The 21,111-nt window shown below is 39.7% G+C and overlaps 1 pseudogene across 1 annotated transcript, besides 1 other annotated feature; it reads right to left on the reverse strand.

Annotated features, from left to right (window-relative positions):
• Positions 1–1,264: 1,264 nt before the first annotated feature.
• On the reverse strand, positions 1,265–21,108 carry UOX (urate oxidase (pseudogene); annotated as a pseudogene). The gene is made up of 7 exons (NR_003927.2): positions 20,900–21,108; positions 18,121–18,199; positions 8,349–8,535; positions 6,211–6,334; positions 3,957–4,047; positions 1,896–1,988; positions 1,265–1,802 (listed from the first exon to the last, which is right to left on the reverse strand). The product of NR_003927.2 is annotated as a urate oxidase (pseudogene) (transcript).
• Positions 1,466–2,665: an enhancer, noted in NCBI's record as "P300/CBP strongly-dependent group 1 enhancer chr1:84830842-84832041 (GRCh37/hg19 assembly coordinates)". NCBI's record gives its function as "activates an origin of replication core promoter dependent on BRD2, BRD4, P300/CBP, MED14 and CDK7 cofactors, with strong dependence on P300/CBP, by STARR-seq in HCT116 cells {active_cell/tissue: HCT116}" and the evidence as "EXISTENCE:reporter gene assay evidence [ECO:0000049][PMID:35650434]".
• Positions 21,109–21,111: the final 3 nt, after the last annotated feature.

Genomic DNA, 21,111 nt, shown 5'->3' on the forward strand with positions numbered 1-21,111 from the left:
TTTTGTTTTGTCTTGTTTTGTTTTTGAAAAGTCATGTTAGACTCTTTCCTCTTGGAACAGAATTGACAAATTAGCACAGGAATAAAATGTACCAGTCATTTGACCATGTAAGTTACATAATGTAGAAGCACATTTTGTGACGTGAGTATTCAATGTAGCACAACACTTTCCTCATCAAATTATTTCATTGTTCTTATCCCACGTTATTTTCCAAGCAGGCGCTTGCTTGTGAATGGCCTCCAACATCTTGTAGGGTTTGCTGCTCTGAACACCTCCCATCTCTTGCCTGACCCGGAGGCCAATGACAGCTTTTCTATGTGGGCCTAATAACAAACGAAAAGAAGACAGGACATTTATTACATTCAACACACACGTATATTGAAATTTCTGTGTCAGGCCAAATACTACCATAGCACTTTACAAGCATTAACCCATTTAATCCTCAAAAGACCTATAAGGTAGGTTCTCTTTTCACCTCCATTTTACAGATGAAGAAACTTGTCTTATATTTACTGAGAGGTGGAGCCAGGATTTAAATGAGTGTGCAATTAACCACTATACCATGCAACCTTAAGTAGCAGTATCATAAAGGTGAATGAAGCCGTATTAACAAATAATACTAAGGGCTCATATGAAAGCAATTCTTAAAAATGGAGATTTGATTTTATTTTTTAAATGAAGATTTTTTAAAATGGAAAAGGTTACCCAGAATGTTAACGTGGACAAGTTTTCATCATGGGTTTCTAAAGCTGTAATTTGTGAAGCTTTATTACATGTATACAATGGTAGTGTTAGTCAATTGATATAATCAGCCCTCAAATCTGTAAACATCTTTAAATCATCAACTATATTTGTTTCTCTGGCTATAAAAGGAATAATTGTTCATATTTGGAAGATTCAGAAAAGTACATGGTGAAAAATGAAAATCACTCATAATCTCATCATCCAGAAATTGTCATTGCTGATATTTTCACATCTATACTCTCTAGTCTTCTTTCTAAATGTACATCCACCCATCTGTATATTGGCTTAACATTTATTAAATGTGACGTTTTGTGCACATAAGGGATGCATTATTCAAAGAAAATTTCTACTCTTTTTCAGTACCCTCATATGTACTAAATATTCTCTAAGGATTGAAAAAGTTTAAAATCAAACATTAAGATCACAGAAGTACTATCAGAGTGGAAATAAATAATCAATGATACATATGCTAGAGCATTCTTAAAATCAAATATTCAGTCAAATGAAGTAACAATGGTGATATTTTTCAATATAATTTTATTTCATTTTCTGCATTACTTAGAAGCATCAGTAGGATGAAAACAATATTTGTTTCTTAAACCTGTGCACAAATTAATTGATGTGACACACTCATTAATTCATGATTATTTTCTTAATGAATTGATTCTAAAGCTTCTCCAAGATAGGAAGGCATAAGATAACCAAAAAGAAATATTGATTTATAACTGTTCTAATACTGCTCAGCATTTTTAAAGTAAATTATAGCCATAAAGCCTGTTATAATTACTAATAAGGTAATCCACAGAATGCCTTGCTGAGCTAGGTGTAGAAGAAATAAACTGTTTCATATTGGAGGAAAGTGAACACTATAAATCAATATACTAGTGTGAAATTTTGCATGGCTACATGCTATCATCTCCAGCATCACAAATGACTTAAGGAATTCCTCAGCTGAGAGTGGACTCCTATTGGTGGCCACAATGTCACAGTCTTGAAGACAACTTCCTCTTGACTGTACCAGTAATTTTTCCATATGGATTGTCTAATGGCAGCAAGACCTGTAGAAAAACCACATGGTAATTTAAAGGACATTAAAATAGCCCTCTCCTCCTTTCTATGACTCAATATTAAAAACAAAAACAACAACTTACTAAACAGGAAAATGTGTATGTCCTCCACTAAAGTTACTTCAAGCATGGTAATGCCTTATTATTCTGGCAATAGTTGAGAGATGAGTCAATTTCCTAGAAAATTTAAAAGCTTTTGAAAAATGTTAATCATTGAGATATAAATGTTTCTAAGATGCATTCCATATCCCTGCTTTGTAAATGCAGTGTATTGAACACAATTGACCTTTCCTTGGTGACTCACCTCATCCATGAGTCATTGTCCAATGCTGTAAGATCACCATGGCCTCAGAAGTGTCTGAGGTCTGCAGGGCTGTTCACTCAATTCTAAATGGCTCCAGATAGCGGTGCTTTTAGAGTTCTTCCACCCTCCCACCCTGTCATTTGTCACTTCTCTGCTAGTGTTAATGTGTCCAACTTCCTGTTTCTCATGTGTTATGTTCACTTTGTACACATCTGCTGGGTGAGAGTCCAAGAGTGGCTCCAGACATCCTCAAAGTACAGACGCAAGGACAGCTTGTTCAGCCACTCAGGTGCCTTTATGTAGAGCCCTGACCCAAAGGAACTTAGGCCTTCCTGACTCCAAGTCCCCAGCTGGGCTCCATGAGGGAGCTGCAAGTCTGACTTCCTAGAGGGAAGAACCCTGTGGGCGCAGCCCCCCAGCATGCTGGGATTAGTGCAGACCTGAGGTGTCGGGGGCCCTCAGGAGCCCTCCTCTCTCTGCCTGGGGTCCTGAGCTAAGCACTGCTTGAGCCATGACACCTGATCCTTTTTTCTATGTAGGGTCCATTTGTTTTGCCTCTGGTGGACTTGGCCAGGATTACTTTCAGGTCGCTCTCCTGCCCGTTAGAAGGCTTTAAAAAGGCTTCAGATTCTAATTAATGGCATTCTGGTAGCCATGTCCTTTCCTTCCTCTAAAGTAAATACTGCTGCCTCTCCTTGTGGCTGGATGTACAGCATGTGGGACCAAGGTAAGGGCAGCTCTGCTTCCCAGAGAACTGGAACTGAATCCCTGGAGGTTTTCAGAATCTAGATCACCTTTGCCAGGCACCTAAGCATGACCTTTGTTTCCAGATGCGACTCCCGAGCCTCCACCTGCAGCTGATGGTGGTCAAAGCCTGCTAGAGGCCACTCACATTACTTGCAAAACAGAAAGGAGGTACCTGGCCCGAAGGATTGTGAGGCTTCTGGGCCATCAGGTGCAGAATGTGGGACCTTTAACCCCTTCATTATCCCTTATCCGCCAAAGGATATGAGTCTATGGGAGCAGAGCCATGCTAATAGATGGCTCCTTCCCTATCTTACTCCCCAACACATACTAAAAGAAGTTACTCGAAACAATGTTTTCTAGTTAATAGGAATGTGTGGGGAGCTGGAGCAAATTGAGAAATCTTATTTTGAATGTGGTCCAAGAGGGAAGAATGGTTCTGATCTCCCAAGAACTGACCACACCAACCCACCAGTCAGTACTTCAGGCTGTCTAGTCAGACACACTGAGTGGTTTAACATTCTGCCATGGCTTAAAAAAAAAAAACAAAAAAACAAAAAAACAGGAGAAGTGTTTCTCCAAGACAAAGGGTTGTTTTCAAAAAATTAATTTCCACATCTTACCTCTGTAATTGCAATTAGAAACATAAATACTCTTCCATGTTTTCCTGTGTGTATTTTATGCCACTGAATTGACTAGTTAATCAAAAGGTAGGAATGATGGAAGAAAGTGAAAATAGAATCTTTTTTTCTCCTCATTGCCTCATGATGGAAGAATAATGAAGCTGTGTCCTTGCATGGCACTTTCAGAGAAGCAGATCTCAAAGCTGTTTCCTTGGGCACACTCTGTTCCTTCTCTGTCTTTCTCTCTTGGACTTCCAACCTTCTATAATCACTCATCCACTTCGAAGGCACTCCAACCTCAGGCATTGAAAGGCCCAGAATTGAAGAGGGCTGTAATCACTGGCAACTATAAATATTCCCCAAAGCAACAGTTGCTTAAGAGTTTTATTCAGTGACATTATCATCCCAGGCTCATAAAGGGGCAAAAGGGGGTGGGACAGAGATGTGCTTTAAATATATTTAAAGTTCTCTTACCTCTTACCTCTTCCTTGTTGATCAGACCCATTTTGGACATGTCTATGTTGAAGTAGTGAATGTTTGGCAGGCTGATTTCCATATCTTCTATCTGGAAACCACAGTGGTATGCATCACATTAGGAGCTGCGAGCCTCCATCTCCGTCACTCCAGCTACCCTCACCTCCCCTAACCTCGCACCCATTACTCAGGTTCTCTCTCTGACTTGGAGACACCCTCTGATGTTCCTCCACTGCCCGACACTGTTCTCTCCTGCTAGTTCTGTGATTAGATGGTGGGTCTGCTCTTCTCCCCTCAGTGTACAAAATCTGTTTCTCTGAAAAGAAAGGGCTCCTCGGGTCAGAAACCTGGGAGACCTCTTCAACATCCAACTGGCCTCCAGGTACTGGTCAGTCAACCTTCTAAATTCCTCCTCATTCCACTCCTTCCTTTCCAGGCCTGTATCTAACATTTATAGGCCCTGCAGTAAGAGTATAATTGGAGACCCACATACCAAAGGTATAAAAACTTTAAAGTTCTATTAATCAAGCCAAAATTTTTTTAAGTGAAATATGTTCTACTCTTCTAACTTGACAAATATACCCTTCATAACAACCTGGAAGGCCAAGCATTAATTTAAAATTCTCTAACTGTGATTGCAATTAGAAACATAAATACTCTTTCATGTTTTCCTGTGTGTATTTTATGCCACTGAATTGACTAGTTAATCAAAAGGTAGGAATGATGGAAGAAAGTGAAAATAGAATCTTTTTTTCTCCTCATTGCCTGGCATGGAGTACCATGCCAGGGCATGGCAGCATGGGAAGAGCCAGCCCCTCGCCCCTGGCCCATCCCACCTTCTCTCTTGGACTCACAGGGGTAGACACTCCAGCTTGCATGTCAAGTGCCATCCATACCTCCTGCAAACATCTGCCCCTTTGCCTACTCTCAGGCCTAAGGGTGAACACCAATAGCATGATTCGCCCTCTGGAAGACAGATCTCGAGAAGAGATTTGCCCACGTTCCCGAAGTAGTCTCAGGGCTATTTGGACAGGAAATTCTGGGGAATGCATGGGCCTCTGCAGAGTATGTTGCTGTGGCCCCACTGATTCTTCACCTAGTGGAGGGAGGCACAGCCAGAGGAAGGCCTGAAGGGGGCCTGTAGAATGCTGAGCCATGGCCAGAGTCCCTCTTGTCCAGGTCTAAGAGTGATACTCCTCCTCTCCAGCCCCACCATGGCCCAGACTCTCTTTACAAGATTCTGAAATAGATCCCAACATGTCTCCTTGCCTATGGTCCATCAACCTTTTCATTCATCACATTTCTGTCAGCGTGTTTTTTCTAGAGTACAAATCTGAAACAAAACATCCAGCTTAAACCCCTTGGTGGCTCCCAGAAGCCTTCAGGATAAGGTACAGACTCTATAAATAAGCCTAAAAAGGCCCTCTTGACTGGCTCCTGTGGTTCCTGCCTCATTTCCAGGCACATGGAATGACTATAATTCATTCATATATATTCAGTCACACGTGGTAGACCCTCAACAGTAAACGACTGTATCATGCTATCTCTTGTCTCCATACCTACCCTGCTCCCTCACCCTTGAGAGTAAACTCAGATAACCTCTAGACTCAAACACCCTTCCCTCTAGAAAACCTGGCGGAACCCATCTCCTTTACCTGAGTTAGGTGCTTTGCTCTGTACTTTCATAATACTCTTTTCTCTATTGTATTGTTCATTTACTTATTTTGTTCATTCACTGAATGATGAGCTCTTTGAGGGTAGTGACTATCTAATTTATCTTTGTATCCTTCGTATGCTGCCAGAGACATAATCACCATTCAATGAATGAATGAATGAATGAATGGGTGGGGACGTGGGTAGATGGACAGATGGATGGATGGATGGATGGATGAAATCTCTCTACATCTATCTTTCATTGTCTGGTTCTTCTGAAACACAGAACCTTTGTCTAATTACCCCTCTCCCTCAAGGCATTCAAGTGTCCTGACTATGAGGCTTAAATCAGTGGCAGGTTGAAGGGACTCAAAGAATTTTCAACAAAACTCAAGGACTACAACAGGGGCCTGTGTTTTCAGGTTAGACAGATTTTTCCATTTTTGCTCTCTTTTCACTTGCTATAACAAGCTTTTGAACAACAACAGATGTCATTTTTCATGTGTCTTCCACTTTCTTATTTTAACTCTCAACTCTTTCTCAGAGCTGACAGAAGACACACGTTCTCCCAGTCCTCAGAATGGCAACTGACAGAACTTACCGCAGGAACTCGGCTCAGGGAGAGCACCTGGATATCACAGAGGGTCTTCTGCACAGAGGTCAAGTATTCACCTTTGTCATAGGGCCCAGCAGATTTCTCCATGACAAGGTCCCGAATGGTGTCCCTAAAACACAAAGAAGGTCACTGAGGATACTGAAAGGAATTTTAGTAATGTGTTAGGAAGCTAAGAAGCAGTGACCTGTCTGTCCCCCAGAAAACAATGTTATTGATGTTTTTAGAAGATATTAGTATCTTGCAATGCCAAAAACAAAACACCTCACTTCCCATTCCCCTACACACACACACACACACACACACACACACACACACACACACACACACACATACACCATTCAACAAACATATTGAGCATCACTAGACTGTCTTCATAGTTTGGCACCAGGGCCCAGTGGGCATTTTAGGGTAAATTTCCCGTCATGTTTGAAGAACCTAAGAAGAAGACTCCCAAGTATTCTCACCATCTTGCTGCTCTGCTTGGCTGGCTCATTGAATTGTTACATTTGGGGGTTTGCTCTGTGCCAGACTCTGTGTTTTTTAGGTTAGACAGATTTTTCTGTGCTAAGCATTTTATGTGATGATGTCATTGAATTCTCTCAATATAGCTGAAGTAGGTACTATTATTATCCCCAATTAGAGAAGAAGAACCTGAGCTTAAAAGTTACATGATATGCTCTAAGTCCCTCTCTTTAGAAGGAGGCCCAGCCTACAGTACTATCCTGCCTCTGGCATGTTCAATTTCAAGCTCTTTTCAACATAAATACATCAGGCTGCTGCCCATGGAGAGCACTTGAAATAAAAGGGAAAGAAGACTGAGGTAACGTTCTCATCATGCATTTAAAAACCTATCACATAATAAAAGAAGCAGAGAAAAACTACACTAGTGGGAGGGACAGCTGTGGGAGTGGGTGGTGGGGGAAGGGTATGCATGCAGATTCTAGCTTATGGTAGGGTAGAAATTTCTAAAAGAGCTTTAGCAAAGGAATGAGATACCTAATCAAAAAGCAAGTTCTGAAAGTTCAGAGGCCTAATTACTCCCTGTCAGGATATAACAATAATCATACCTTTATATTGTGAGTTGTCAGAATCAAAATGGAGTCACTTGTGTCAGATGCTAATGAAATAAATAAATAAAGCCAGGAAGCTGAGGGAGGGCCCTCAGGCACAGATGCCTGTAAGAACTATTGCAAAGACTCTCTGAAGGGCTCTTATGTACATATGCCTGTAACAACAATTTTGCAAAGGACTTTTCAAACAGTGGCTCGTGACGTGAGTCACAAGGACAGCTAGCCAGATGTACAAGAACATTTGCCTGCCACAGTCTTCACTAATGAGCTGGCGTCAATTCCTGCGATAGCCACTATAACCAGTGTTCTCTTTGTCTGAAAACAAATTACATACACTTTTTCCTTTTGCTTTTAAAAGCTTCCCCTTGCTTCAACCTCTTAGGATATGCCTATGGTTCCTGCAGCCCACAAATTTGCAGATTCCGTGTTTTCCTAAATAAATTCATTATCTTTGTAGAATCTCTCTCTGTTATTTCAGTTAACAATATTTTTAAGGCATTTATAACTTATAAAATGCTTTTGTGAACATCATATCATTTTGAGTTTAGCCTAGATTGACCAATTATCCCAGTTTGCCTGGAACCAAGAGGTTTCCTGAGACATGGGACTTTCAGTGTTAAAACCAGGAAGTCCGTGACAAACTACAACAAGTTGGTCACCCTCGTTTAGCCCTCTCTGCATCACTATGAGGTAGTAAGGCCAGATATTCTCTTCATTTGATGCCGTGTTTCTTCAACTGTGGTCCCTGGTCCAGTGGCATCATCTGCATCCCCTGGGAGTTTGCAAGAAATGCATGTTCTTGGGCCCCACCTCAGTCCTACAGAATCAGAATCTCTGGGGATGGGCCCAGCAAGCTTCATTTTCTGGTTCTGTGTGATTCTGATGCACATGCATGTTTGAGAACCACCAATTTAATAAATTGAATAAACAGAAGGGATTTCTGAATAGTGGGAAGTTGAGTTGAATGGCCTCTAAGTTTCTCTTTTACATCTAAGATTCTATGAAGTCTGGGCCCCTGGGACAAGAGTAGACACTACATGCACGTGTTCATACCAGGTAGCCTTGAAGTCCACATCCCTGCACTGGTGGTAGCGCCACTTGCAGTACACTTGGGTGGCAAAGCATCAGTCCTTCACCTCAGGGAGGGTAGTGAACTGGTCCTTGATGAAACCTTCAAATCCAGACTGTGTTGTTTTCAAGACCTTGAGGTCTTTGATTCCAGAATGAATGACTTGGGGTCCTGTTTCAAGTAGAAAGTCAAGAGTGGCTGAGGTCATAAACAGTGTCTTGTTGCTGATACCTAGCACAGAGGATCCTGGTCATTAAAACATGACACATTCTGTACAAAAACTACATCACCGCCCGTGTTTTCTGTCATCCTATTTCCTCTGAAGTCCAAGTGAAGAGGATGGTGTGCCTTTGCTTCCATCTGGATTCCAAGACTCCCTGCCCTGTCTTGCCCTCGAAAATCTGAAGGTCTAAGAATAACCTCCATTCCGTATTGAAGGCCACAGAAATGAATACATTCCTCTCAACTACAAGCGGGAGTGTCTTCTTGGCCAACTCACCTTATGTATTTTGAGCTCCATCTCCTCCAACAGGTGATCATGCTGAAATGTGTTAATACGGCCCTTAAGAGCCATTCCTCTACCTGCTACTGTGACCCCTTTACTGGGGGTAGTCCTCATGCTGATCATCTACAGTAGCTGATGATCCCAATCTCCAGTAAGCCCTGATGGCATCCCAGCATCCCAGTTCCCTTACGGTTATCAGCTCAGCAAAACCAGGCAACTTCATAAATGGGTAGCAGCGTGGGCCTGGCTGAGCCTAAATAAGACAGGGAAGATGGAGTTGGTGACTCACAAGGGATAGATCTGCCTAAGTTGATATCTATAAAGGCTTTTGTTTTTTCTGCTGAAGGAGAAGGGACGAACTTGGTTCATGGGTACCTGGGGGGAGAGAAGGGAGAGTTGAAAACAATGGAGGGAATGATATGGCTCTCCTTCTGTCTCTGCTGTGCTTTCATAAGGTAATGGGGCAGGTGGAAGGGTGACAGGCATCATCTAAAAAAGAACAATATTAACATCACTATGACTTTATTTGTCTGCACAGGCTGGCAAGGATTGGGGACATTCCGGGAGCACTTGGCAAACCCTAATAGCAAAGTGCCATGGCACGATTATTAAGATCACCTCTTTTCAGTCTCTTTGTTAGTTCCAACCAATATCTATGCTTCTTGGACTGTTCAGTCTAAAAATCAAGGGCCAGAGATGTCAGGTATCACCACACACATGGTCTTAGTTGAAGAACAAGAATATAACTCATGATCCTCAATTAAAATCCAAGGAAGCTCTTAAAAATCCAATGGTTTACATCACCTATGTGGTTTCTATTGCTACAGTTAACTCAGGAGCTGTGGAGTTTCAAAAGTAGGTAAATAAAGTCTGTATTTCTGTTTTTCCATGCTTCAGTATACTCCTATCAGAGAGAACAATAGCCAGTGGTTAGTGGTAGATCTGCTGATTAAATATGTCCTGATTAAAGAAGATATTCTGTGCAGAGTGTCCCAGGATAATGCGGTGAAACTGGAAATGATCCTTGTTTAACTTTCCGAAGTACTTACTGGAAGCTACATCTGAAGAAGGAGCAAGAGAAAGATACCAACAATGCCTTAAAGCCTTCAGCTGGCTGGGTTTATCAGATTCTAAATGTATGAAGTCATGATCTCACAAAATCAGCATTGCTACATGCAGTGAGTGGAAGCCTCAAACCCAGCAGAACTACAGAAACAATCAATAAGTATCTGTTGAATGAATGAATGAATGAGTTTAGCAAGATTGATTCATGTCAAGGAATAAGCATTGCACAATTTAGTATCTTTCTTTTCTAGACAGTTCAGCCCCATCAGTCTTTACCATTTCCCTTTCTGGTCCCCTCCAACTCACACATAGTGTGGCAGGGGGTGAAAGGAAGGGTGTTAACCTTGGCTAAGAACCTCCTCTCTGTAGACATGACTTTGGTTGCTGCAGTTTTCAGTCTTTATCTTACTTAGTTCTCAACACTCTATAAAGCAGTTATTTTAATGTAGGTGACTTTTAATCATTTGCCCATAGTCACATGGCTAGAAACTGTCACAGGTGGAATTTAAACTCAGCACCACATTATGAGATCCCATGCTTTTCTTCCTGCTTTTTGGATCACTTCCCATCTATGCAATGGTTCCTCCTTCCTTTGACCCTTTCCCCATTTGTGTTCTATACGTGGCCTTTCCAGGAGACAAGGTTGCCACCTTCTATTCACAGCGTGCTTTAAGGACCTCAGATAGAGCCCCCTGCCTGAAAAATACCATCTCCATTGGTCAGAAACAGAGATTGAATAATCATTTTTAGAGTTGGCTCCTATGTATCTAAAAACCTTTGTATTCCTTAAACATTTCCTATTGAAATGCAAATAAATATCCCTTAAAGAAGTGACTCCTTAAGCCTTTGTAAGGTACTATGATAATCTACTTCCCATGGTAAGCCTTTCTAGAAAACAAAATCCTATAGAAATGAAACATGGGTTTGCAATCAGGAGTGGGGTTAAAATGAGTAGCAGAAACCCTTGCAGGAGAATGAAAAGAAGGTGAAAAAGAACCAAAGACAAACTTTATCTACATTGTTTTCTTCCTATTCATCTGGCCTTGACTGCTGGCATCCATGTAAGCCAGTCAAACTTTGGCTCCTCCAAAGGTGTTAACCATAAAAGGATTCCTGGATGCAATGTTGCATAGTGGTTGAATCTACAGCTTTGAGACTCAGATTCCTAGAACTCAAATCCCAGTGCTCTCCCTGCATCCTCAACCCCCATTTTTATGAGCTCTATGCTCCTGAGGGAATTATTTAACCCCTCTCTACCTTGATTTTGTCATCTGTAAAATGGAGACGATAATCATACATATTTCCTAGAGTTGCCACATGTCTAAGAGGATGCACATAAAGAACTTAGTAGAATTGCTGACCTACGAAAGTGCTCTACAAATGTGATGATGATGATTTTGCCATAATTGACTTTTTCCCAATGACTTCAACAACTTATAAATATTTCCCATGTTTCACAAAGTCTTACTGGGTTCTGAAAACTACTTCTAATGTGCCGTCCTATCCATCTCCAGCCCTGGGATAAGATTTATTGACCTTAAGCGAATGTCAGTCCTACTAGGCCACTTTGAAATGATCTGCTTTCTCACTGGAATCTAAAAACGGAGACAGCAGTTGTATTTTTAAAATGTGTCTTGGCATCAGTTTCACACAGAATAAAATGTCTCATGTTCCCCAAGACAATTAACTATTGCCACAGTTTTGGCAGAACACACACCATCTACTCTGGTGCTCTCATCATTCTATTAAAAACAACAACAACAACAACAAAAACTATTCTCTGAATGTTAAAAGAATTTTTCCCTGGCACACATTAGACATGCTGGATGAAATCAGAGAGCTTATTTTATCTTCTCTGTTGGCGGTGCCCCAGCTTTCTGAACATTGGTAAGAACCTGAGGCTTTCAAAATCATGGGCCCATCAACTAAAAATATGATGCCTAACACACTCTAAAAAAGATTCCCATTTAGACCAACAAGAAGTAATTCAAAAACTGTCCTTTTCTAGGTTACACCCCATGAAATCACTTAATCAGCTTTGTTTTGTTTTGTTTTTCTGCCTTGGTTATGGAGTAATGCAAAAGAAAGATTTTTCACATTTCACTTTGCTAGAACATAATCTTTTCCAGCTTTTAGTGTCCTCCTACACACTTAGCAGATTGTGGCTTATCTCTCAGAGAATCATACATCCTACCCTTTAGCTATCTAAGGGAAAGAAACTCACTGCGAATTAATAGAAAATAAGCCCAATTCCTTACCTACGCATCAGGTGTCACAAAGCACAAAGCTTTATTGAGCCAAGAAAAAGATCTTGTCATAAGAGGATAATTGCTTCCACATTTAACACCTCCAAAAAGGACACAAATAGCTGAAAGGCAGATATTTTAAAACCATATTAAATCATTCTAGTAGAAAATCTCAAACTTGTAAAGTGCCAGAAAAAGTAAAGATCAATTAAATATTTGCCTTGGAGAGTCCATTTAGCTCATGCAGGAAGAGCGAAAGCTCCCTCTGCGCAACTGTGGATGGAAAGAGATGACATCATCCAGATGGTAGGAAATTAACTGGGCTTTTGTACAACCAGGTGATGACCAAGAACATTTTAAAAGACCACGAATCTGCCAAGAACTTTTCTTACAGAGGAACCGAAGAGCACTTTAGTCTTGATATCAAAACGACATAAACAGACTTCTTGGCAGTAGCCATCTCTGTCCTGGATCTCCCACTTCTCCCATTTCACTTCTTCCATCTGCCCATCTTGTCACCTCTTAAATCTGTTCTCCTCCAGGTCGGATTTCATCAGTTGCCTTCCTTACAACCATCCCCCTACCCTCACTACCCTTCATGTCAATAGAAATATAGGAAGTATTTTTCACTATCAGAAGACACAATCTAGTATTTGAGGCCTCTTCTCCATCTTCCATTCCTCTATTTAGCTATGCTTTAGCTGAATTTCATAATTAGTGTCAAATGGGAGAAATTTGATGCTGAAGAAATTGTGAGTTATAATTCAAATAGTGCAGAGGTTTGGGGGTCAGTTTAGTTCAAATTAGTGACTCAATCATACCAATGACTTACAGCTCCGTTAAGCTTGTAGTTTCTCACTGATACTTGATAGAAAGAGTTCTGAAGATTCAATGCCATATGATACCTAAACCAACAGCCTGCTTCATACACATAGGGCCTAGTTCTCCTCTCAGGGCTTGAGAAGTCACAAACATAAAACCAGCCCTCATTCCTTTGGGCAAACAAATTTCTTTCTCTCTTCCAGATTCTCCTGTGGAATCAGTAGGCTTTGAAACAACTAAAATACAGCCTAGTGATGTAGCTGTAAAAGATCCACTAGGAAGAAACAGTGTAATGGGAGTTTTAGAGCAATTCCCAGGGGTTAAAGTGGTGCTTGAGGTTCAGCAGCATTTCTAGAAATGTTTGTTCATTTGCTAAGTAAGAATGAATATAGTCCATCGGGAGAAACTCAGTCACACCTCCTCCTGGGAAGAGTCCTTTTGGGAGTGGCGTGACTGAACGTGTGAATAAGCACATGTGTTTGAGGGGGCAAAAGTCTTACCATTCTAGCCGGTCCCCCACCAAAGGCACTACTCAGGTGTTTGTAACAATAGCCTTCCCCATGTGAATTTGTGAGTGGTGTGTGTATAATATAATTACTATTTTCTTTAGTTAAGCCTTTACAAGGGCATTTCTTATGACAATGATTGTAACATTCTCTCACATTACGATTCCTACAGTTTCAGCTCTTGGATAATAAGCAAATAAAGAATTAAACTTTGCTACCAAAAGAGCATACATCCCTACTCTCCAAAGAGGGACAGAGTAGAAATGTCATCTTCATATACACAACACTGAAAGATACACACACCCATAAACATGTGCACACACATACCTGTATACACTTAAGGCAACAGATATCTCTTCTGCTACCCCAATCCCTGCCAGCCCTGCATGAAATCAGAGGGGGAGTTGGGGGCTGGACTCTAGATGAGTCAAGCTGGAGCTTCTGGGAACACTGCCACAATGATCTCAATACCCTGAAGCTTTGCAGCTTTCTGCAGAAAGAAAAAGTTTTAACCTGATTATGGTGGCTAGTTTTTCCACTCAGCTGCAGCCAGGTGATTAGAATTCAAGCTGATAGCAACTCTTGGTCATTCCTGGAAAGAACAGGATATAAAGAGAAGTCCGTTTTCTTTTCATGATCAGCACAGCCCTATACTTGGCCACTTGACTTCCACCTCCCTGGCTCTGCTAAAAGTATTCTGGGAAGTCACCAATGACGCCTATTTACTGACTACATAGTTTCTCATCAGTCCTCTCGGAACCCCAACTTCTTAACTCTCCTATGGCAGAGGCTAAATCTACTTGCTCTTCCTCCTGGCACTCAGCTAGATGACATTTCACAGTGTCCCTTGCAGTGAGGTGTGACTATGTGACTGAGCTCTCTCCAGAAGAAATGATCCATGCTGTTTCCAGGCCGGGAGCTTACGCTTCAAGGACTTTGCCCCTCTAAGCTCTTTCTTTGGTTGTCTGGTATGAGGGTCTACTTTCAAGGTGACACCAAAAAGTAAGGATTACAAATATAAAGTTGCCATCAACCTGGGTTCCTGAAGAACTTCATGGAGCACAGCATCCCCCTGACCCCCCTAGCCCCCCACACAGACACTGAACTGGACTTCTGCAAAAAGAAGTAAACTTCTAGTGCTGAGCCACTGCACATGGGCCTATTTTTTATGCATCTTTGTTCCCCAGTAATTCAGAAATCCCTAATTTCTTGAAATGTCTTTTTCTTCTGCTTCCATGACACTATCATCCCTCGTCTTCCTTCTATCTCTCTAAACATTCTTCTGTCTCAGTTTTTAAACTGCCCAACCCTTACAGTGGGGAATTTTTCCCAGGCCATCTCCTCTTTCAAACTCTTCTCACTTTGTGTGTTTTTCTGGAATGGTCCTTCTTCCCTGTGGCTTTACCTAACACCAATCTGCTGTAGCTTCACCTACCACCAATCTGCTGATGGGCCCCAAATCTATCTCCATCACATAGTCCCACATTCACCAGCTTCCCACCTGAAAACTTCCCCTTGTGTGTAATCTCCTTAGTCAGTTGCCCAGTCCTCCCAGATTAGGGTCAATTTTAACTCCTCTTTCTCTCCAATCTTCCATCTCTAATCAACCACTAAGACCTATTGATTACACTTCAAAAATGTCTCACATAATGCTTCCCACAACCTCTCAGTCTCTCCAGCTCTATTTCTACTGCTTTAGTTTAGACCCCATCACTTCATCTTTGCAAGTCTCCAAATGTCTCACTACTGCCTGTTTCTTTAATCTGTCACCATACCTTGTTCAGAGTTTCTGAACAAAAACATGCACATAGTAATCTGACCATTAGAGGCTTTCTCTGGTTCTCTGTTGTCATTCTAAACAATAACTATAGCTATTAGTTAAGGAGAGCTTAGTGTGCCAAGTACTATGCTAAGTACTATGCTAAATGCCTTAATAAAATAAATTAGCATTTATCTCCTTTGTTTCTCTGGATAGTTGTTGAAGTGGGCACTGGTATCCTTGTTTTACAAATTAAAACCCACCAGTGTAGTATAAGTAACCTTGCTCTTAATCACAAAGTTATTAAGTAGTGGAGCTCAAATTCAAATGATTCATTCTGACCTCAAGGCCTCTTGCTTAACCACTGTGCAAAACTGCCTTCATCTTATACTAAACTTGTGTATAACACATGAGGCCCTTCAGATTCCAGCCCAAACCACCAACTTATTTATCTTCATCTCCCTTCTTACATTCTAGAAATCAGACCCACTGAATTTGTTACTGTCCCCCAAATGCTTTGCCCTTTCCACAGTTAAATAAATTACTTCCCCGGCATAGTCTTCAGCATGAAGCAAGTGCTCAAAATATTTTACTTCCCCTCTTTCACTCCTCATGGACTGTACTCATATGTATCCTGTTTCTTCTGCGTGTAATTCCCTTTCCTCCTTTAATGCGCAGCATATTCTGAATCATTTTTCAAAAGTCAAATGGAATATTTTTTCCTCCTTTGTCAAGCCTTCCAGACAGACTGCTCTGGAAAGAGTTTCTTCACTTCTCAGTTCCCATAGCATGCCTTTTATCCCTTCATCATAGTCTCTAGCCTCTCATACTGCAGTCAATCTGTCTCACTAGGGTCAGGGAGCATCTTATTCCCCTCTTTACCTACAGCCCTTTGCATACATAATAGGGCCTCGAAATCTAGTTGTTGAATGAATAGTATATGAATGAATGACATAAGCACTTTTCATAAATGCTCTCATTGTTAATTAGCTCTCTTGAGGCCTAATCCTAGCTGCTGTTGTTATTTTACATTATTGAAAAATGTAAAAAATGTAAAAAAGCATCCCAAACGTCACTGAAAAGCAGTTTTAAGTTATGCTGATCTATACAGTAGCCACTAAGCCACATGTGGCTATTAAGCACTTGAATTATGGCTAGCATAACTTGAGATAAGCTACACATATAAAATACAGAATTTTAAAGACAATTTTGTAAAAAGAATGTAAAATACTTCATTAGTAATTTTTATACTTATTACATACTGAAATATTTTTGATGTTATTTAAATAAAATATATTATTAAAATTAATTTCCCTAATTTCTTTTTGCTTTTCTAATGTGGTTATGAAAAAAATTTTAAATTATATATATGGCTTGCATTATATTTCAGTTGGGCAGAGCTGATTTCGAGTTTCTAGTTTTATGAGGGTAGTTAATGAGGCTTGGGTAGGATAACATTGAGTCAGGAAACTTTTCTTTCTCCTCCAAAGCCACATATCTAAGACAAGAAGGAAGGAAGAAAGAAAAGAAGGAAGAAGGGAGGGAGGGAGGAAGAGAAAGGAGAGGGAAAGAAGGAAGGAACCAGAGAGACAGAAAGGAAGGAAGGAAGGGCTAAGGAAAGGAGGGAAGGAAAGAAAGAAGTTAGTTCCAATTTAACTTAACAAATAGCTCAGAAAGCTAATATAGCATATGACTACACATCTGGGTGATAAAGATCATCTTTTTAACCAAATACAACAGCTATTTAGTCTCTTTTATATAACATTAACTTTATAACTGTTTATCAAACGTTGAGAAGGCCCTAGTTATGTATAGACTTTAATTCACATAGTGGAAAATATTTAAAAATAGCTAATACACTAGAACTTTCTAAGGAGGGCATTATCCAAAAGAACTCAGAATGAGAAGGGATCTTATATTTTATTAACCTTATAATAAATCTGATATTCATTAGATGCCACTTCAAATTCCTACTAAGGAGGAAGGGAAGGGAAGGGAAGGGAAGGGAAGGCAACAGCAAAGAAGAAAAGGGAAGAGTAAAGGAGGGGAGGGAAAGAAAATAGAAAAATTTTAGAGTCCACCCTTTCATTTTATAACAATCAGTAAAGTTTATTTTTTTACTGGGATAAAGACATTATTACCAGCTTTGTCTCCATGGTTCTTAGAGGTCCTCTAGCCTAACTCTTAGCCAATTATTGAACTCTGCTCTGACAAGCTCAACAAATCTGTGGAATACAAGCTGTGGAAATTTTAATATTTGCTAAGTTCAGTTATCAGTACTAATAACACCTATGATATAATTATGTTTCATAATTAATTTGGAAATTTCTTAGGAAATAGAATTATATAATTGCCATTGCTATCTTAAATGAGATGCATTTTATAGGAATTACAATATTAGTGGTTTTATTACACAAAATAAAATTTCAGGAAAACTTGACTATTATTTAGTAAATATTTCCTATGAAGGTTACTATAATTGTAACATGATGTGGCACAAAAAATATTGGTCAGAAAATCCAGAGATTTGCGTTCTTTTCAGGCTGGGCCTTTTTTTATTTTGCCTTACCTCAAAATCTGGTAATAAAAATGATTTGCCTGACTCAATCCCCAGGGTTGTTGCAAAATGAATTATTTCATTTTTATATTTTTAAGACAAAAAGTAGATAATTCTTTAATATAATTCAAAGTCACAATATTCATTTCTATCTCAGATTTAAAAGCCTTAAAAAGTCTCTACAGTTTTCCTCCATGTTAGTAAACAGCATTGTTTAGAAGAAATGAAGAAAAAAGAAAACAAAGCCACCCTGAAGTTGCTACTATATAATCAAAGCATGAAAAATAGTTTCTTACCACTTCTCAGCTGTTCAACTTCACAGAAGTGTGTTCCAGTGGGAGTGTGAATAAATGCATGGACATGCTTAACTCCATTCTGAAAATTAGGGAAACAAATTATTTCCAGGAAAATTTCAGTTCATGCCATAAAGCCAATTTCTTTAATTAAACTGAGAGCACAAATAAGTGAGTTAACCTTTCCAAGATGCTTCCAAGGGATTTCTTCCATGTAGACTTGAGCTCGGATTACATGGTTAAAAGAAGAAAGAAAATGCTCACAAATATTCACACCAAAGGCTTCTATGCTTTTGATTTGTAAAAAGAAACAAAATGCTTCAAAGCAGAAATAATTGTCCCATTTAAAAATAATTTATAAATACTGTTAAATGAAACGATGGGAGGTCATTGCTTTGGACTAAGCTCCTGCATTAGACCCCAACAGACCAGACCAAAATGGAGTCACTTATGCTAAATTCCACATAATCAAATTGAAGCTTTAAGGAAGCAGATAGATACCAAAACAGACCAGTTTTTCCTGAAAACAGGAGATTCCAGTCTATCTGAGTCAGTGCGATAAGGAAGTCCCCTCTGCTTTAACTCTTACTAAAAAAGTAATCTGAAACCCGATGTTAACCAATCAGTTTTTTTTTCCATTGTTCTGTTTCTTGTTCCCACCTTACAAAACCCAATGCCCAGTGGAAGCTCTTACTCTTTTTTGTAGAACAGAAGCTGCCCCAATGGTAAATAAAAACCAATTCACTCTATAACTAAACTTGTTGTAATTTTGTCTTTTGATATTACTCATGATGTTCTCTTTCCTGATGAATTGCTTTTTAGAACTAGACAAGCAGAGAATAGAGTCTACCTCAAGAGAAAAAGGTGTTTATCTCACTTTTTTATTAGAGCTCCCAAATGAAGTTAATAATCACCATCACCAGGTGAGACTCTCGTTTTTAAAAGAAACCCATTTTGCAGGAGAGGATGTGTCAGTGGATGAGCAAAAAATAACTTAACATTCAGATTCTTCTCACAGTGCGTTCAGTCATCACTTGTATCAACCACAGCACACCACAACACTCTAAACTCTATGAGGCTTCCCATTTTCCCAAGGAAAAATGTTAATGAAGGGCCACCTCACTCCTTACCTTGCATACAGTCCTTCTATTGATCCCAGCTCTCCACCCCCATAATGCAGCTTCCATATTAATCCCTAGGTAATATTTTATGGTCTTAGCACAGTCTGGAAATTATTAATGGCTTTGCCTATAATTAAAGTGAAGTATTTGTACAGGCTTCCCCAGTATAGTTCTGTTTTATACCTGTTGGCCCAGAATAATTACGAATAGCATCCTATTTTGAGCTCAAAAGTGTCCTGGTTTGGATAAGAAGCTATACAATCACTCTATCCATAATGAATGACTTTAAGTAGTTTTTAACATTCAGGTCCATTCTTCACTTTTCTGCAAACTCCTACACAGTACAGGAAATACAAGAATCTGTTGTACCTGGCCCTTGTCCATATCACAGCACAGGTCTACTTTCAAACGATTTTTTTAAAGAATGCAGTACCTTTTTCCATAGCCCCATCTATGTTTGCTGGGTCATTCTGATTAGCAAGAGAAAGGTTCAGGGTAAAAATAGGAGTTGCAGAAATTATATTGCAATGTTTGTTCATTTAATGAATTATGGGTATGGATTTCATGAGAAAACATGAGAAAAGAAGCTTTCCAGTCTACATTTCTTGTCTTTTTAGACTTCATGGCAAGTAAAAAAAAAAAAAAATCAGCTTGAATTGCCCAGAAATCTGGGTGACCCAGCATAGCTTCACTCACACTTAAAGAAACCATAAGTGGGGTCGGGCACGGTGGCTCATGCCTGTAATCCCAGCACTTTGGGACGCCGAGGCAGGTGGATCACAAGGTCAGGAGATTGAGACCATCTTGGCCAACATGGTGAAACCCCATCTCTACTAAAAATGCAAAAAAAAAAAAAAAATTAGCTGGGCATGGTGGCAGGCGCCTGTAGTCCCAGTTACTTGGGAGGCTGAGACAGGAGAATCACTTGAACCCAGGAGGCGGAGGTTGCAGTGAGCCGAGATCACGCCACTGCACTCCAGCCTAGTGACAGAGCGAGACTCTGTCTCAAAAAAAAAAAGAAAAAAGAAACCAGAGCTGGAAATGCTAAAATATCAGTTCTATCAGATCTAAGTCTCTCTTGAAAAGTCCTAATAACCACTGTATATGAACAGTAAGTGGTAATAGAGTTGGGAAAGTTAGAATGGCATTAAAATTTGGAAAATAGATTTCAACAATAAAAATAAATGTATCTCATACTCAAGATATTCTTCTGTATTAATAACAAGAAGTGAAATGATATTTTCTTCTATAAATGCACACCATTCTAAAAAAATAAAAACTAAATGGTAAGACTCAAAGAAATGCATGACAAAAATGTGTAAAATTCTATTCTGAAATTCTTTCAGGACCTTGATTTTCCTTTGATTCTAATTAGAGATAACATGTATTTTGTCCAATAAGATTCTCTGCCTAAAAGATTGCAGTGAGATAAGAGCCAAGGAAACAAAGATGTGAGGTTTGTGTGTTTGTTTGCTTTTCTGCAAAGTTTTCTTCAATCCTGAGACCTTTAGGCTAGAAAAGAACATTTTTTTAAAAAATGGCTTAAATGTAAAAATAGATTAAAATGCAAAGGGAACTGGAAATAAGCAAGTAACACTTCATGCTGTTTTATGGCAAATTCTGCATCAAGATAGGCGGCATCTAAGAAGAATGACACATACTTCTTTAAACTTTGCCAAGACATGAACTGTGTTCTTGATGGTGTCTGTAGGGATGATGTCTGAATTATCTCCATGCAGGTAATCTTTTTTGGAACTTAGAGTAAGTTGCACTGAAGTTGCCACCTCTTTAATGCTGTGATATTTTCCATCTCACTGAATATGGAGAACTTTTACCATTTCCTTCCCATAGCCAGTTCGGACAAACTCCACCT

Source organism: Homo sapiens, chromosome 1 (assembly GCF_000001405.40).
Source record: "Homo sapiens chromosome 1, GRCh38.p14 Primary Assembly".
Classification (NCBI taxonomy): Eukaryota; Metazoa; Chordata; class Mammalia; order Primates; family Hominidae; genus Homo; species Homo sapiens.